Genomic DNA, 14,201 nt, shown 5'->3' with positions numbered 1-14,201 from the left:
GGGGCCACAGGCGCCTGCCACCATGCCCGGCTAATTTTTGTATTTTTAGTAGAGATGGGGTTTCGTCATGTTGGCCAGGCTGGTCTCCAACTCCTGACCTCAAGTGATTCACGCACCTCCGCCTCCCAAAGTGCTGGGACTACAGGCGTGAGCCATTGCGCCTGTTCTTACTACACAGACTCACCAGGCCTCCCTGAACCCATTTGTTTAATCATCTAAAAGACAAAATCCACTTTTTTTTTTTTTTTTTTTGAGACAGAGTCTTGGTCTGTTGCCCAGGCTAGAGTGCAATGGTGCCATCTCAGCTCACTGCAACCTCCACCTCCCGGGTTCCAGCAATTCTCCTGCCTCAGTCTCTCGAGTAGCTGGAACTACAGGTGTCTGCCACCATGCCCAGCTAATTTTTGTATTTTTAGTAGAGATGGGGTTTCATCATATTGGCCAGGCTGGTCTCGAACTCCTGACCTCATGATCTGCCCGCCTTGGCCTCCCATAGTGCTGGGATTACAGGCGTGAGCCACCACGTTTTTTGTTTTTTTTTTTTTTTTTTGAGATGGAGTCTCGCTCTGTCGCCCAGGCTGGAGTGCAGTGGCGCGATCTCGGCTCACTGCAAGCTCCGCCTCCCAGGTTCACGCCATTCTCCTGCCTCAGCCTCCCGAGTAGCTGGGACTACAGGCGCCTGCCACCATGCCCGGTTAATTTTTTGTATTTTTAGTAGAGACGGGGTTTCACCATGTTAGCCAGGATGGTCTTGATCTCCTGACCCCATGATCTGCCCGCCTCGGCCTCCCAAAGTGCTGGGATTACAGGCGTGACCCACCGCGCCCGGCCTTTTTTTTTTTTTTTTTTTTTGAGACGGAGTCTCTCTCTGTCACCCAGGCTGGAGTGCAGTGGCACAATCTCAGCTCGCTGCAACCTCCACCTCCTAGGTTCAAGCGATTCTCGTGCCTCAGCCTCCCGAGTAGCTGGGATTACAGGCACGTGCCACCACACCCAGCTAATTTTTTTGTATTTTTAGTAGAGACAAGGTTTCGCCATGTTGGCCAGGATGGTCTCAATCTCCTGAGCTCATGATCCGCCTGCCTCTGCCTCCCAAAGTGCTGGGATTACAGGCATAAACCACCGTGCCCGGCCCGTTTTCCCAAATCTGAAATGCATCTAGACAACGGTTGCAGGACCGGGCTCCTTCCCGATTAAACCACTACTTGAGTCGGATTTGGCTGCACCTTTACTAGCTCTGTGAACGTGGGCAAATGACTTAACTTATCTGAGTCTCCATTTTCTCAGGCGTAAAGGAGGCCACCCGAAGCCCAGGGTGTGGGTAGGTTAGCTGAAGTATTTGATTTAAAGGACCGTGAGGTCAGGTCCTAGTAAACGCTCAATAAACTGTTAAAAGACAGTGTTGGCCGGGCGCGGTGGCTCACGCCTGTAATCCCAGCGCTTTAGGAGGCCAAGGCGGGCAGATCACGAGGTCAGGGGTTCAAGACCAGCCCGGCCAACATGGTGAAACCCCTGTCTCTACTAAAAACACAAAAAAATTACCCGGGTGTGGTGGCAGGCGCCTGTAATCCCAGCTAATCGGGAGGCTGAGGCAGGTGAATCGCTTGAATCGGGTGGCGGAGGCTGCAGTGAGCTGAGACCGCACCACTGCACTCCAGCGTGGCAACAGAGCGAGACTTGGTCTTAAAAAAAAAAAAAAAAAAAAAAAAAAAGGCAGTGTCGAGAGGCCTGCACTGGCGACTGTCGGTCAGCAGGGGCCGCTACTGCGGTCTCTGAGCTCTCCTGGCGCCGCAGCAGGCGCATGCGCAGCGGAGCTTCTCTGCAGAGGTGAATTTTTTTATTGGTCCCCACCCTAAAAGACCCAGCGTATATTTATTATTGTACTTATTACAGCTGACCTGGTTGTGGCTGCTTGTGGTACTCCAGGATTCTGCTCTTCATGGATGTGGGGATGACAGTGGGAGAGATCCTTCCCTGCCAACACCTGGCTCCATCCCTGCAGTTATGGGGTTGAAAATTCCCCTTTTTCCCTTAAGCTCTCCCCCTAGTTCTTTAAATTACATGATGTTAGAATTTTTCAATAAGCAACCCATGCACTTGAGAAGAAATTCAACCCCTCTTTTATTAAGTTCCGGGATACCTGTGAACAGCCCCCCCTCCTTTTTTTTTTTTTTTTTTTTTGAGACAGAGTCTTACTCTCAGTCGCACAGGCTGGAGTGCATGCAGTGCCGTGATCTCGGCTCACTGCAACCTCTGCCTCTCGGGTTCAAGCGGTTCTCCTGCCTCAGCCTCCAAAGTAGCTGGGATTTCAGGCGTTCACTACCACGCCGGGCTAATTTTTTTATTTTTAGTAAAGACGGGGTTTCTCCATATTGGGTAGGCTGGTCTCGAACTCCTGACTTCAGGTGATTTGCCTGCCTCGGCCTCCCAAAGTGCTGGGATTACAGGCGTGATCCACCGCAAGCAGCCTAACCCCTCTTTAATTTTTAAAATTTTTAAAAATTTTTTTGAGACGGAATCTCGCTCTGTCGCCAGGCTGGAGAGCAGTGGCGCGATCTCGGCTAACTGCAACCTCCGCCTCTCGCCTGACACCTCTTTTAATGAAAACCTTTCCATTACATCTCTGAAATGCTCCCACTTTGCACGGAAAAAACGGCTGCGAAGCCCCCAATAGGAAACGCAACACGTAGCAGGTGCTCAGTGCATTTAAAAATTTTGAAGAATTTTATTATTAATAATGCGAAACTGACTACCCCTCTGCTAAAAACTCATGCCCCAAATGGCGCATGCGCTTGACTTGCAACTTAACTAAACGCGTCACAGGTACAGGTGTAGGTGGTTAGGGACCCCGGGCGCTCCCATCTGCTCCCTGCCGCGCCCTCTGCCTTTCAGAGCCTCAATCCTTTCGGAAGATACTTTTCAGTTTTCCACTGGGTTAAATGGTGATAGGAAGAGCAATCATCCGTTAAATGAAACCCAAGGTTGAGACAGCGCTTTGTAAAGCAAAGTGCCCGAAGCATTCGTGAGGGGGAGGAGTGTACAGGTTTATTTTAGAGTCCAGGCTGGAATTTGCATTGCTTTTTGTGGATCCACACCTCCCCCTCTCCCAGCCCAGGAAAAGCACTGCAGTGGCTCTCCTGTTTCACAAAGTGAGTTTAAGGAAAGATGTACCGCAGGGGGTTCATTTGCACTGTGAGAACATCATTCATGCAAGAAATGCTGAGTACCTACTATGTGCTAAACAGCGGGTTGGGCTTTTCATAAGGGATAGAGTTACACAATTGAATGCCAATTCATGAGATATGAAATACATTCAACTGTTTCTTAGGGTCAGATTAGGACACAAATGCTAAACAGTCTTCCTGCGCCTCCCCCTGGAGAGGAAATGAAATAGAAAATGAAATTGTGCCAGTAAACCGCTTAGCCGGGTGCCTGGGACATGGCAAACCAGTCCTGAAATAAATAACTGTTTTATTAATAGCAATCTTAGCTAATTAAAATAGATAGCGTTTATTGAGCGTTGGGTATCAGGCACGGTCCTAATTCTTTTAGATGTCTTTAGTTCGTTTCACTCTCCCCCAAACAATAGGGTGGTATTGATCACCTCCGAGCAGGTGAAATTGAGGCACAGAGAAATCCTAGTAGCTGGTAGAAGAACACGCAGTGTGGTCAAGCTAGCAAGGTGTTTGGTCCACTGCTATATCTACAAAACCCCTAACAATGCCTGGTGTATAGATGCTCAGTATGCATTTGTGGGATCAGTGATTCCGATGCCTGCTTCTTATAAAGTTTTTATTTAGAAATAATTACAGGTAAGGAGTTGCAAAAACAGTATAGTGGTCGCGAGTGTCCTTTTTCCCTCGGCTTCTCCCAGGGGTATCGTCTTACGTAACAATGTCCAAACAGGGAAATTGACTTGGGTATAATCCACAGACTCTATTCACCTTGTAAATTGGTTTTAATAGAAGTACTGGACAACTTGTAAGCTAATATCGTTGCTATGGTTCTCGTTCTCAGCTAAAACGGCGCTCTTTACTTTGTGCACCTGAACACTGCACACCGAGGGCGACCACCGCCCCCGAGATGCCCAGCTTCTATTCTAGAGCGCCGCGCCGGCGCCGAATGGGTTAACGGGCGGGGGGACACGCCTCCGTGCGCTTGCGCGGCGTCCCTTCGCCCCGCCTTCGCAGCGCAGTCACATGACCCGCCCAACCGGCGTCCGCCTATAAAAAGCTGAGTGTTGACGTCAGCGTTCTCTTCCGCCGTCGTCGCCGCCATCCTCGGCGCGACTCGCTTCTTTCGGTTCTACCTGGGAGAATCCACCGCCATCCGCCACCATGGTGAGTAACCCTGCCTCGCTGGTGCCCCGGAGCGGCGGCGGGGCCTCCGCGGGGCCTACGCTGCCTAGCCTGGGACGCTGGGGCCCCCCGTGCCAGGAGGAGACGTAGCGGCGGCGGGGCCGGAGGACCCGGGGCTGGGGAAGCGGCCGCCGCCATGTCTGTGCGCCGCGCTGTTCACCGAGCCCTTTCTCCGTTTCCGAGGGCGCCATAACCTTGCCCAGACCTGGTTGGAGCTGGGTTGTTAGCGGGGATGGGGGTGGGGAATGATGATGTGGCAGGCGTAGTAATGGCGGGCACCGCGGTGGAAGCGGGGAGACAGGGAGGCGCCTTATGTAACCCGCGGGCCGCGAGTTTGAGATCGATTTTCTGCCGGGGGACTAGGGGCGGCAGGGAATGGCAGAACGAGCAAAGCGACACCTGAAAGGCTCCCCTTTTCCTTCCAAATACCTTCTCCTGATGCTGTTAATCGTCGACCTTAGGCACTTGTCCTTCCTATGACTCCCAGATGTACAAAGACTCTTATTGAGACACGAGGTGTAGGCTTGTGGCAGTTAGGGCCGTTCCGGCTCCCCGTTATTTCCTGGGGTGGGTGGCCTTGTCTGATCCCGTTTGCCAAGGGGTGACCTTGCATTTTATGATGAAGCTTCTTGCTCGGGGAAGTTTGGGTGGCCCGGTGACAACGTGGAGGGGGCTTTAGGAGAGGATTCATCCCTTACGTGTTTGGCCCCAAATGAGACTTTAGTATTTGTACCTGGTATCAAGGAAATCTGTTGACACTCAGTTTTATTCCTGAGCACTTTTATTTCTGGGTTGTCAATCATGAATGACACCTATTAACGGTGGTTCCTTGGAGATTGCGGGGTGGCTCTTAAGGGGTGTTAGGCTGGCAAGATTCGGTGGGCTTGGGGCACCCCAGCACCAACCCCCTCCTGGCCTTGGGCATGCTGGTTCGTTTGGACTGAACGCTCCGTGCCATGCTGTGTTCCTGGAAATCACGAGCTGGTCTGAGCCTCCTTGTCTTGCCCAGGTGAACTTCACGGTAGACCAGATCCGCGCCATCATGGACAAGAAGGCCAACATCCGCAACATGTCTGTCATCGCCCACGTGGACCATGGCAAGTCCACGCTGACAGACTCCCTGGTGTGCAAGGCGGGCATCATCGCCTCGGCCCGGGCCGGGGAGACACGCTTCACTGATACCCGGAAGGACGAGCAGGAGCGTTGCATCACCATCAAGTCAACGTGAGCTCCCTGTGCCCTCTGTACCCAGGCAGGGAGGTGCTGGCCTGGCAGCTGGAGGCCACTGGGCCAGGGTGCGCGGGGAGAGACTTGGCAACGTCTCTTTCCCCTGGTTTCTTAATTCATGGGAGAATGAGTGAGGTTCAGTCCAGCGAGACAGGATGGAGAGGCACAGGGATTCGGGGTACTGCGAGCTGGAAGGTTTTCTTGAGGAGGGGGCTTAACTCCGTGGTTCTCCCTCCCTGGGGGACTTGCCCCCACTCCTACAATATCTGGAGAGGTTTGGCTGTCACACCTGGGAGGGGAGGGTGTTCTAGTGCTTGGGACGCTGGGAAGCTCCTGTGTTGCACTGGATGATGTTCATTCCATGTCAGTTTCTGGCCCCGATATGAGTAGGGGGAGCGCAGAGTACGGTGACCCCAACTGCTTTTTGTCCTGGGTTGGTACATTGGTGAGGGACTCTGGCTAAGGCTCTTCATTTCCCCTGGAGCAGGGGCAGAAGTGAGGAGGGGAGGGTCGGAGTCTCTGGAGGCTTTTGCCGTCCTGCTGGGTCTTTTAGTTGCTACTTTGAGTCAGGTGTGATGAATCTTGGGACCAAGTCGGTGGGGCAGGATGTCTGGTCAGGAGGGCTCTGAGGATCTGGCTATGGGGCTGGTACCAGGAGTTCCCTGTCATGGGGGTGGCATGTCTCGGACAGAGGCAAAGGACAAGGGTGGGTTGGCTCTTGTGGGAGCCTCTCCAGGGATGAGTCATGGAGGGAGGAGCAGCCTGGCTTCTGACAGCATCCCAGACTCCCTGGGCCAGGTGTGTGGCTCCTGTCCCCCTGACGAGTCCCTCCCTCCATCAGTGCCATCTCCCTCTTCTACGAGCTCTCGGAGAATGACTTGAACTTCATCAAGCAGAGCAAGGACGGTGCCGGCTTCCTCATCAACCTCATTGACTCCCCCGGGCATGTCGACTTCTCCTCGGAGGTGACTGCTGCCCTCCGAGTCACCGATGGCGCATTGGTGGTGGTGGACTGCGTGTCAGGTAAGCAGTGGGTCCCCCTGAGGCACGGCCTGGAACCGGGGGCCATCCTTGCTTGAGGATGACAGCGCCGCCCTGTCCCCCGTGTCCCCAGGCGTGTGCGTGCAGACGGAGACAGTGCTGCGGCAGGCCATTGCCGAGCGCATCAAGCCTGTGCTGATGATGAACAAGATGGACCGCGCCCTGCTGGAGCTGCAGCTGGAGCCCGAGGAGCTCTACCAGACTTTCCAGCGCATCGTGGAGAACGTGAACGTCATCATCTCCACCTACGGCGAGGGCGAGAGCGGCCCCATGGGCAACATCATGGTACGGCCCTCCCTAGCTGGGTGGTGGGCTTGCCGCAGCGGGATCTGCAGGAGCCGGTGGGGAGTGGAGTTGAGCTGAGGGGGACTGGAAGTGTGTTTTTGCCAGGAATGTTGGGTGACAGAGAAGGGGGCTGGAATGTTTTCATCCGACTTGACCCAGCCCTTGATCTTTGGGCAGCTGGAAGAGACGAGCTCAGGGAACGCTGCCCTGGGTGGTGGAGGGGCTGGCCCCCCTATTCGTGATGACTGATCATTTCTTCACTTTGACCAGATGTCTACTGAAGAAAGCCTGCGTCTGAGGCCCATGCCCAAGGCGCCCAGCCCGTAGCTTCAGGCTCTGCGCAGGGGCCCTCACGGCTGCTTCTCGTTTCTCACACTTCCAGATCGATCCTGTCCTCGGTACCGTGGGCTTTGGGTCTGGCCTCCACGGGTGGGCCTTCACCCTGAAGCAGTTTGCCGAGATGTATGTGGCCAAGTTCGCCGCCAAGGGGGAGGGCCAGTTGGGGCCTGCCGAGCGGGCCAAGAAAGTAGAGGACATGATGAAGAAGCTGTGGGGTGACAGGTGAGCCCCGCGGGATATGGTGGGGGATTCCTGACACCTGGGGGTAGTGGCAGCGACGTAGGGGCGTGGTGTGCTATTCACAGCGTGGCTCAAGCCCACCAGGTCTTGCCCAAGCATGTCCCCTTGGCGACCACCCTCCCCAAGTCATCCCCTGGAGACCCTAACTTGATTTGGCTTGGCCTCTCCTTGCCAGGTACTTTGACCCAGCCAACGGCAAGTTCAGCAAGTCAGCCACCAGCCCCGAAGGGAAGAAGCTGCCACGCACCTTCTGCCAGCTGATCCTGGACCCCATCTTCAAGGTGAGTGAGGGCTGCGCCAGGCACCCCGCCGATGCGACTATTGGCCCTCGGCCCTGTGGGCTCCGGCCGGTAGCCTGTCGGCTGACTGGGCCCGTCTCCTTGTGGGGCAGATGCGAGATGGGAGGAGGCACAGCTCCTAACTGAGGTGGAGTCAGGGCTCCTCTCTTAAGATCTGGACTGCATAGCCAGAGCCTTGGGACCTCTCCTGCATTGAGGGGGTTGAATAACTTGTGGCTTTGGCGGTTCAGTGCTTGTAAGTCAGAACTTGGGTCCTTGTCTGAGTCAGAGTGGGCTTTTTCCTCTGCTCCACCACGAGGTTTCCTCCAGCTCCCGATCCGCTCAGCTGGCTGGGCCCGTGGTAGGCAGGCCAGGCCTGCTCCTGCTCCCGTGCTGCGTCCCCCTGCGCTGACCTGAGTCTTCCAAGCAGGAAGCAGTGCCAGGCTTCCTCCTGCTGTTCCCAAATGGGCTTTCTTGTTTCTTGGTGGGGAATGTAGGTGTTTGATGCGATCATGAATTTCAAGAAAGAGGAGACAGCAAAACTGATAGAGAAACTGGACATCAAACTGGACAGCGAGGACAAGGACAAAGAAGGCAAACCCCTGCTGAAGGTGCGGCCTGGGCCCAGCCCTCGGGGTGGAGGGAACACAGGCTGCTGTTTCCGGATGCTCTGACAGCCCAGGCCTGGGGGCTGAAGTCCTCAGCTGGGCAGGGACAGCTGCTGCCCCTTTCGCTTTAGACTCTGGGTGCTGCTGGAGACACATCCCAGCAGCCAGCCCCATCCGGGACAGGTGTGGGTGAGGGCCTTGGCAGGAGTGTGCATGGCCTTTGCCGCCTTCCAGAAGGGACTGTGCTTTGGAGAACGTTAGTCCTGACTTTGGCTTCCTTGGCTTCAAGAGAGGAAGCGTGTACGGGGTGGGGCCATCCTGGGCTCCCCAGGTGTCTCATGCACCGCTCTCTGCCCCCGCAGGCTGTGATGCGCCGCTGGCTGCCTGCCGGAGACGCCTTGTTGCAGATGATCACCATCCACCTGCCCTCCCCTGTGACGGCCCAGAAGTACCGCTGCGAGCTCCTGTACGAGGGGCCCCCGGACGACGAGGCTGCCATGGGTACGTGGTCCCGGTGGCCGGGCCCTGAGATGCAGCCGGATGACTTCCTGTTGCCCAAGGTTGTGGGTTGCAGGGTTCCAGAAGGCTGAGCTGCACTGGAATAAAGCTTGCGGGTTTTCTCTGTCCCTCAGGCATTAAAAGCTGTGACCCCAAAGGCCCTCTTATGATGTATATTTCCAAAATGGTGCCAACCTCCGACAAAGGTCGGTTCTACGCCTTTGGACGAGTCTTCTCGGGGCTGGTCTCCACTGGCCTGAAGGTCAGGATCATGGGGCCCAACTATACCCCTGGGAAGAAGGAGGACCTCTACCTGAAGCCAATCCAGAGGTGAGCAGCTGGGTGATGTGCAGGCCCCTTGGCACTGTTGCGGGCCCTGCCCTGCTCCAAGTCTTGGGCTCCTCAGTCGGGAGCTAGAAGTAAGGAGCATAGAAGGAATATAGGGTGATACTTGTGCCAGCCACAACTTTTGTTCTTAGCCCAGTGAGGGCATTTCTGGAGAAGCTCCAAGCCCCAGGGCACAGCACACCCCTGCTCATCTGTGTCCCTGGGCACAGGTGGGTGGCGGCCGTCGACCCATACCCAGGGAGGAGGGCAGTGATTCTGAAGAGGATGTTTCCTGACAGCCCCGACGCAGCAGTCAGGGCCTTGTGGAAGCCACCAGTCTGCCCTGGGACCTGGCAGGAGGGCCACCAACTCCGGGAGGGACCTGCCCTGGCCCTCCAGGGTCCAGCACAACCATCCCTGCGGCCTGCTGCCGCCTTCTGCTTCTTCCAGAACAATCTTGATGATGGGCCGCTACGTGGAGCCCATCGAGGATGTGCCTTGTGGGAACATTGTGGGCCTCGTGGGCGTGGACCAGTTCCTGGTGAAGACGGGCACCATCACCACCTTCGAGCACGCGCACAACATGCGGGTGATGAAGTTCAGCGTCAGCCCTGTTGTCAGAGTGGCCGTGGAGGCCAAGAACCCGGCTGACCTGCCCAAGCTGGTGGAGGGGCTGAAGCGGCTGGCCAAGTCCGACCCCATGGTGCAGGTGGGCACGGAGTGCACCTGCTGGGAGCAGACACCCTGAGGGGGGACGGCTTGTGTCCTGAGTTGTGGCTGTGTGGGTTGCTGTGGTTGGTGGATTGGGGTGACTGGTCATGAAAGGAGGGGTTCTTGGCTGTGGCTGTAAATGGAGACTCCTGCCCAGGCAGCCACCACCCTCTCCTAGGCTGCTCTGCGCGTGTTCACTGTAGCTTGTGGGACTTAACATTTCTTCAGGAGTTTGTGCTGGTCCCAGTTTCCCAGCACCTTCCCTGAAATCTTGTTCTGGCGGGGTCCCTAGCTAAAGGGAAGCTGGGAGCCTGGTCCCGCCTGTTCCGAGCCGCCTACCCCTTTGGTGCTGACCCGCATCCCTTTCAGTGCATCATCGAGGAGTCGGGAGAGCATATCATCGCGGGCGCCGGCGAGCTGCACCTGGAGATCTGCCTGAAGGACCTGGAGGAGGACCACGCCTGCATCCCCATCAAGGTGAGGCGCCAGTGACCAGCCTTCCCCACGCCCCACCCCGGACACCTGCCCTCTGCTTTAAAGCTGAGCTGAGCTAGGCTCTGCAGACGCCTAGACTTGATCTCGGTCTTGGTCTCAGCTTCTTAAGTTCCTCAAGTTTCTTCTTTGCAGTCTTCCACAGGCATGTGGGGCTGTTTTTGTTGTTGTTGTTGTTTTTTTTGAGATAGTCTCGCTGTGTCATCCAGGCTGGAGTGCAGTGGCGTGATCTTGGCTCGCTAGAACCTCCACCTCCCGGGTTCAAGCGATTCTCTTGCCTCACTCAGCTTCCTGAGTAACTGGGACTACAGGCGCGTGCTACCACGCCCGGCTAATTTTTTTTTGTATTTTTAGTAGAGGCGGGGTTTCACTGTGTTAGTAAGTCAAGATGGTCTCGATCTCCTGACCTCGTGATCCCCCTGCCTCGGCCTCCCAAAGTGCTGGGATTACAGGTGTGAGCCACCATGCCTGGCCCAGGGCTATTTTTTTTTTTTTTTTTTTTTTTTTTTTGAGACAAGAGTCTTGCTCTGTTGCTTAGGCTGGAGTGCAATGGCGTGATCTTGGCTCACTGCAAGCTCTGCTTCCCAGGTTCACGCCATTCTCCTGCCTCAGCCTCCTGTAGCTGGGACTTCAGGCGCCTGCCATCATGCCCGGCTAATTTTTTGCATTTTTAGTAGAGACGGGGTTTCACCGTGTTAGCCAGGATGGTCTGGATCTCCTGACCTCGTGATCCACCCGCCTCGGCCTCCCAAAGTGCTGGGATTACAGGCGTGAGCCACCACGCCCGGCCTCCGGGGCAGTTTTTGAGTTACATCCTGCTGTCTTCTGTCCACAAACAACACAAATGCTCTGGAGGGGTTGGGACAGGCCTGCTCCAGACCTCGTTTCTTCCCTGTTAATGCTTAAAATTCCACAAGCCCGTGGTTTCTGCGCCGGAGAGCTCAGTGGAGCCCCTGCTCCTTGTCCTTGTCTGGAGTGAGATGCGCTTGGCACTGCAACACTGACTCCGCTTCGTTCTGATTGACGTGGCTCTACCAGGCTGTATGAGGTCCGCCTTGCTAGGAAAAGCTTTTAAGGATGCGTCTGTGTGTAAGGTCACCTCTTTCTCCAGGCAAGAGTGGGACTTAACCTCTTTTTGCAGAAATCTGACCCGGTCGTCTCGTACCGCGAGACGGTCAGTGAAGAGTCGAACGTGCTCTGCCTCTCCAAGTCCCCCAACAAGCACAACCGGCTGTACATGAAGGCGCGGCCCTTCCCCGACGGCCTGGCCGAGGACATCGATAAAGGCGAGGTGTCCGCCCGTCAGGAGCTCAAGCAGCGGGCGCGCTACCTGGCCGAGAAGTACGAGTGGGACGTGGCTGAGGCCCGCAAGATCTGGTGCTTTGGGCCCGACGGCACCGGCCCCAACATCCTCACCGACATCACCAAGGGTGTGCAGTACCTCAACGAGATCAAGGACAGTGTGGTGGCCGGCTTCCAGTGGGCCACCAAGGAGGTGAGGCACGGCTCAGCATGTGCAGACCACACCCGTTTCCAGGCTCTAGAGGGACCTCATGGTCCTGCCTCCCGAGACAGAGACCCTAATGGGGCCAAGGCGGGCAAGGCCCCAGGTCCCCCTGGTGGAGACCTGCAGGACTTGGCAGGTGGAGGGCAAGCAGCCGAGGTGTGTCCGGCCCTTGACGGTGGCTCTCCCCCTCCCCCAGGGCGCACTGTGTGAGGAGAACATGCGGGGTGTGCGCTTCGACGTCCACGACGTCACCCTGCACGCCGACGCCATCCACCGCGGAGGGGGCCAGATCATCCCCACAGCACGGCGCTGCCTCTATGCCAGTGTGCTGACCGCCCAGCCACGCCTCATGGAGCCCATCTACCTTGTGGAGATCCAGGTGAGGTCTACCCGCCCACCGCTGACCCTGCCACCGTCCTGCCCAGCGGCCACTGACAGGTTTTCTTTCCCTTCTGGCAGTGTCCAGAGCAGGTGGTCGGTGGCATCTACGGGGTTTTGAACAGGAAGCGGGGCCACGTGTTCGAGGAGTCCCAGGTGGCCGGCACCCCCATGTTTGTGGTCAAGGCCTATCTGCCCGTCAACGAGTCCTTTGGTGAGTGCCTGCCCGGTGTGGCCTGCAGAGCCTGGCAGGCTGGTTTGGGGGACAGAAGCCCAGTTAAGCTTAGCAAGGTGTTAAAGGAGGCGTCCTGATGGGAGCAGGTGATGGATGGAGCAGGTGGTCCAGTTTCTGACAGCTTGTGGACCCCCTAAATCACTGAATTCCCAGGGGAGGGGCTCTCCTATCCCCAGTGTGAGAAGGGCTCTGGGCCTGGAGCTCTGAAGGCCTACGCCCTGGGCCGGTAGAGCAGCCGAGCTGTAGCACAGGGTTGTCCCAAACGAGCAGCGGCATGAGGCCCATGAGTGGCCTGCTAGGCCCTTCGTGAAGTGCTGGGCACCAGGCCGAGTGTCTGGTCTGCAGGGTGACTCAGGCTGAGGAACTAGCCTGAGCTCCTGACAGGACTTTCCTTCTGCCCTGCCACCTTCTCGATGGCCCAGTGAGCCTCTCGCTTCCCTCTGCAGGCTTCACCGCTGACCTGAGGTCCAACACGGGCGGCCAGGCGTTCCCCCAGTGTGTGTTTGACCACTGGCAGATCCTGCCCGGAGACCCCTTCGACAACAGCAGCCGCCCCAGCCAGGTGGTGGCGGAGACCCGCAAGCGCAAGGGCCTGAAAGAAGGCATCCCTGCCCTGGACAACTTCCTGGACAAATTGTAGGCGGCCCTTCCTGCAGCGCCTGCCGCCCCGGGGACTCGCAGCACCCACAGCACCACGTCCTCGAATTCTCAGACGACACCTGGAGACTGTCCCGACACAGCGACGCTCCCCTGAGAGGTTTCTGGGGCCCGCTGCGTGCCATCACTCAACCATAACACTTGATGCCGTTTCTTTCAATATTTATTTCCAGAGTCCGGAGGCAGCAGACACGCCCTCTTAGTAGGGACTTAATGGGCCGGTCGGGGAGGGGGAGGCGGGATGGGACACCCAACACTTTTTCCATTTCTTCAGAGGGAAACTCAGATGTCCAAACTAATTTTAACAAACGCATTAAGAGGTTTATTTGGGTACATGGCCCGCAGTGGCTTTTGCCCCAGAAAGGGGAAAGGAACACGCGGGTAGATGATTTCTAGCAGGCAGGAAGTCCTGTGCGGTGTCACCATGAGCACCTCCAGCTGTACTAGTGCCATTGGAATAATAAATTTGATAAGGTGGTGACTCTGTTCTGCATTTTTCACGGTGTCTTCGCAGGGGAGCGGGGCTGCCCAGTACTGGGCTCCCTGGAGCCTAGAAGGGGACCCGGGCCCTAGTTAGGTGCAGCCTGGGGCTGCCTCAGTGTTAGGTGGAACGTTCTGGAATGGTGGGAATGCCCTACCCCTGTGTCATTCAGAGAAGCAGCTGCCAGCTGCGCGGGTCTGCTGAGCATTTGAAGTAGGATCAGTGCGGCAAGGAATTACGAGATGTCACTTTGAACGCATTTGGATGGCCCTGTGGAGCGAGGGGCTCTGGATTGAACTTCGCAGGTTTCAGCAACTTTCCGAATTGCTGACGAGCTCACAAGTTCTATCTGCCATCAGGATTTTCTGTGGTCACCCCAGTCCTGACTAGTTTATTAGAAACCCATTTTTTTTTTTTTTTTTTTTGAGATGGAGTCTCACCGTTTGCTAGGCTGGAGTGGAATGGCACCATCTCTGCTCACTGCAACCTCCACCTCCCGGGTTCAAGCAATTCTGCCTCGGGCTCCTGGGTAGCTGGGA

General features: G+C 56.3%; 1 protein-coding gene and 1 non-coding gene across 2 annotated transcripts, besides 8 other annotated features; both read left to right on the top strand.

Annotated features, from left to right (window-relative positions):
- Nucleotides 1,002–1,501: an enhancer, noted in NCBI's record as "H3K4me1 hESC enhancer chr19:3988215-3988714 (GRCh37/hg19 assembly coordinates)". NCBI's record gives its function as "activates a minimal SCP1, AML or CMV promoter by ChIP-STARR-seq in primed H9 embryonic stem cells {active_cell/tissue: H9 hESC(primed)}" and the evidence as "EXISTENCE:reporter gene assay evidence [ECO:0000049][PMID:30033119]".
- Nucleotides 1,502–2,003: an enhancer, noted in NCBI's record as "H3K4me1 hESC enhancer chr19:3987713-3988214 (GRCh37/hg19 assembly coordinates)". NCBI's record gives its function as "activates a minimal SCP1, AML or CMV promoter by ChIP-STARR-seq in primed H9 embryonic stem cells {active_cell/tissue: H9 hESC(primed)}" and the evidence as "EXISTENCE:reporter gene assay evidence [ECO:0000049][PMID:30033119]".
- Nucleotides 4,020–4,069: an enhancer, noted in NCBI's record as "active region_13748". NCBI's record gives its function as "activates an Ori minimal core promoter by ATAC-STARR-seq in GM12878 lymphoblastoid cells {active_cell/tissue: GM12878}" and the evidence as "EXISTENCE:reporter gene assay evidence [ECO:0000049][PMID:35858748]".
- EEF2 (eukaryotic translation elongation factor 2) lies at nt 4,255–13,662 on the top strand. The gene is made up of 15 exons (NM_001961.4): nt 4,255–4,340; nt 5,368–5,582; nt 6,427–6,608; nt 6,700–6,911; nt 7,294–7,472; nt 7,666–7,771; nt 8,266–8,379; nt 8,739–8,877; nt 9,009–9,204; nt 9,652–9,910; nt 10,282–10,389; nt 11,546–11,899; nt 12,108–12,290; nt 12,371–12,503; nt 12,971–13,662. The coding sequence occupies exons 1-15, from the start codon at nt 4,338–4,340 to the stop codon at nt 13,162–13,164; spliced, it is 2,577 nt and encodes an 858-aa protein (NP_001952.1). The 5' UTR covers nt 4,255–4,337; the 3' UTR covers nt 13,165–13,662.
- Nucleotides 4,350–4,459: a silencer, noted in NCBI's record as "silent region_9865". NCBI's record gives its function as "represses an Ori minimal core promoter by ATAC-STARR-seq in GM12878 lymphoblastoid cells {active_cell/tissue: GM12878}" and the evidence as "EXISTENCE:reporter gene assay evidence [ECO:0000049][PMID:35858748]".
- Nucleotides 4,838–5,689: an enhancer, noted in NCBI's record as "NANOG-H3K27ac-H3K4me1 hESC enhancer chr19:3984027-3984878 (GRCh37/hg19 assembly coordinates)". NCBI's record gives its function as "activates a minimal SCP1, AML or CMV promoter by ChIP-STARR-seq in naive H9 embryonic stem cells {active_cell/tissue: H9 hESC(naive)}" and the evidence as "EXISTENCE:reporter gene assay evidence [ECO:0000049][PMID:30033119]".
- Nucleotides 5,325–5,544: an enhancer, noted in NCBI's record as "active region_13747". NCBI's record gives its function as "activates an Ori minimal core promoter by ATAC-STARR-seq in GM12878 lymphoblastoid cells {active_cell/tissue: GM12878}" and the evidence as "EXISTENCE:reporter gene assay evidence [ECO:0000049][PMID:35858748]".
- Nucleotides 7,146–7,211, top strand: SNORD37 (small nucleolar RNA, C/D box 37). The gene has a single exon (NR_002602.1). It is a non-coding gene; the product is annotated as a small nucleolar RNA, C/D box 37 (small nucleolar RNA).
- Nucleotides 7,394–8,245: an enhancer, noted in NCBI's record as "H3K4me1 hESC enhancer chr19:3981471-3982322 (GRCh37/hg19 assembly coordinates)". NCBI's record gives its function as "activates a minimal SCP1, AML or CMV promoter by ChIP-STARR-seq in naive H9 embryonic stem cells {active_cell/tissue: H9 hESC(naive)}" and the evidence as "EXISTENCE:reporter gene assay evidence [ECO:0000049][PMID:30033119]".
- Nucleotides 12,109–12,318: an enhancer, noted in NCBI's record as "active region_13746". NCBI's record gives its function as "activates an Ori minimal core promoter by ATAC-STARR-seq in GM12878 lymphoblastoid cells {active_cell/tissue: GM12878}" and the evidence as "EXISTENCE:reporter gene assay evidence [ECO:0000049][PMID:35858748]".

Source organism: Homo sapiens, chromosome 19 (assembly GCF_000001405.40).
Source record: "Homo sapiens chromosome 19, GRCh38.p14 Primary Assembly".
Lineage (NCBI taxonomy): Eukaryota > Metazoa > Chordata > Mammalia > Primates > Hominidae > Homo > Homo sapiens.
This window is presented reverse-complemented; position numbering and strand designations above follow the sequence as displayed.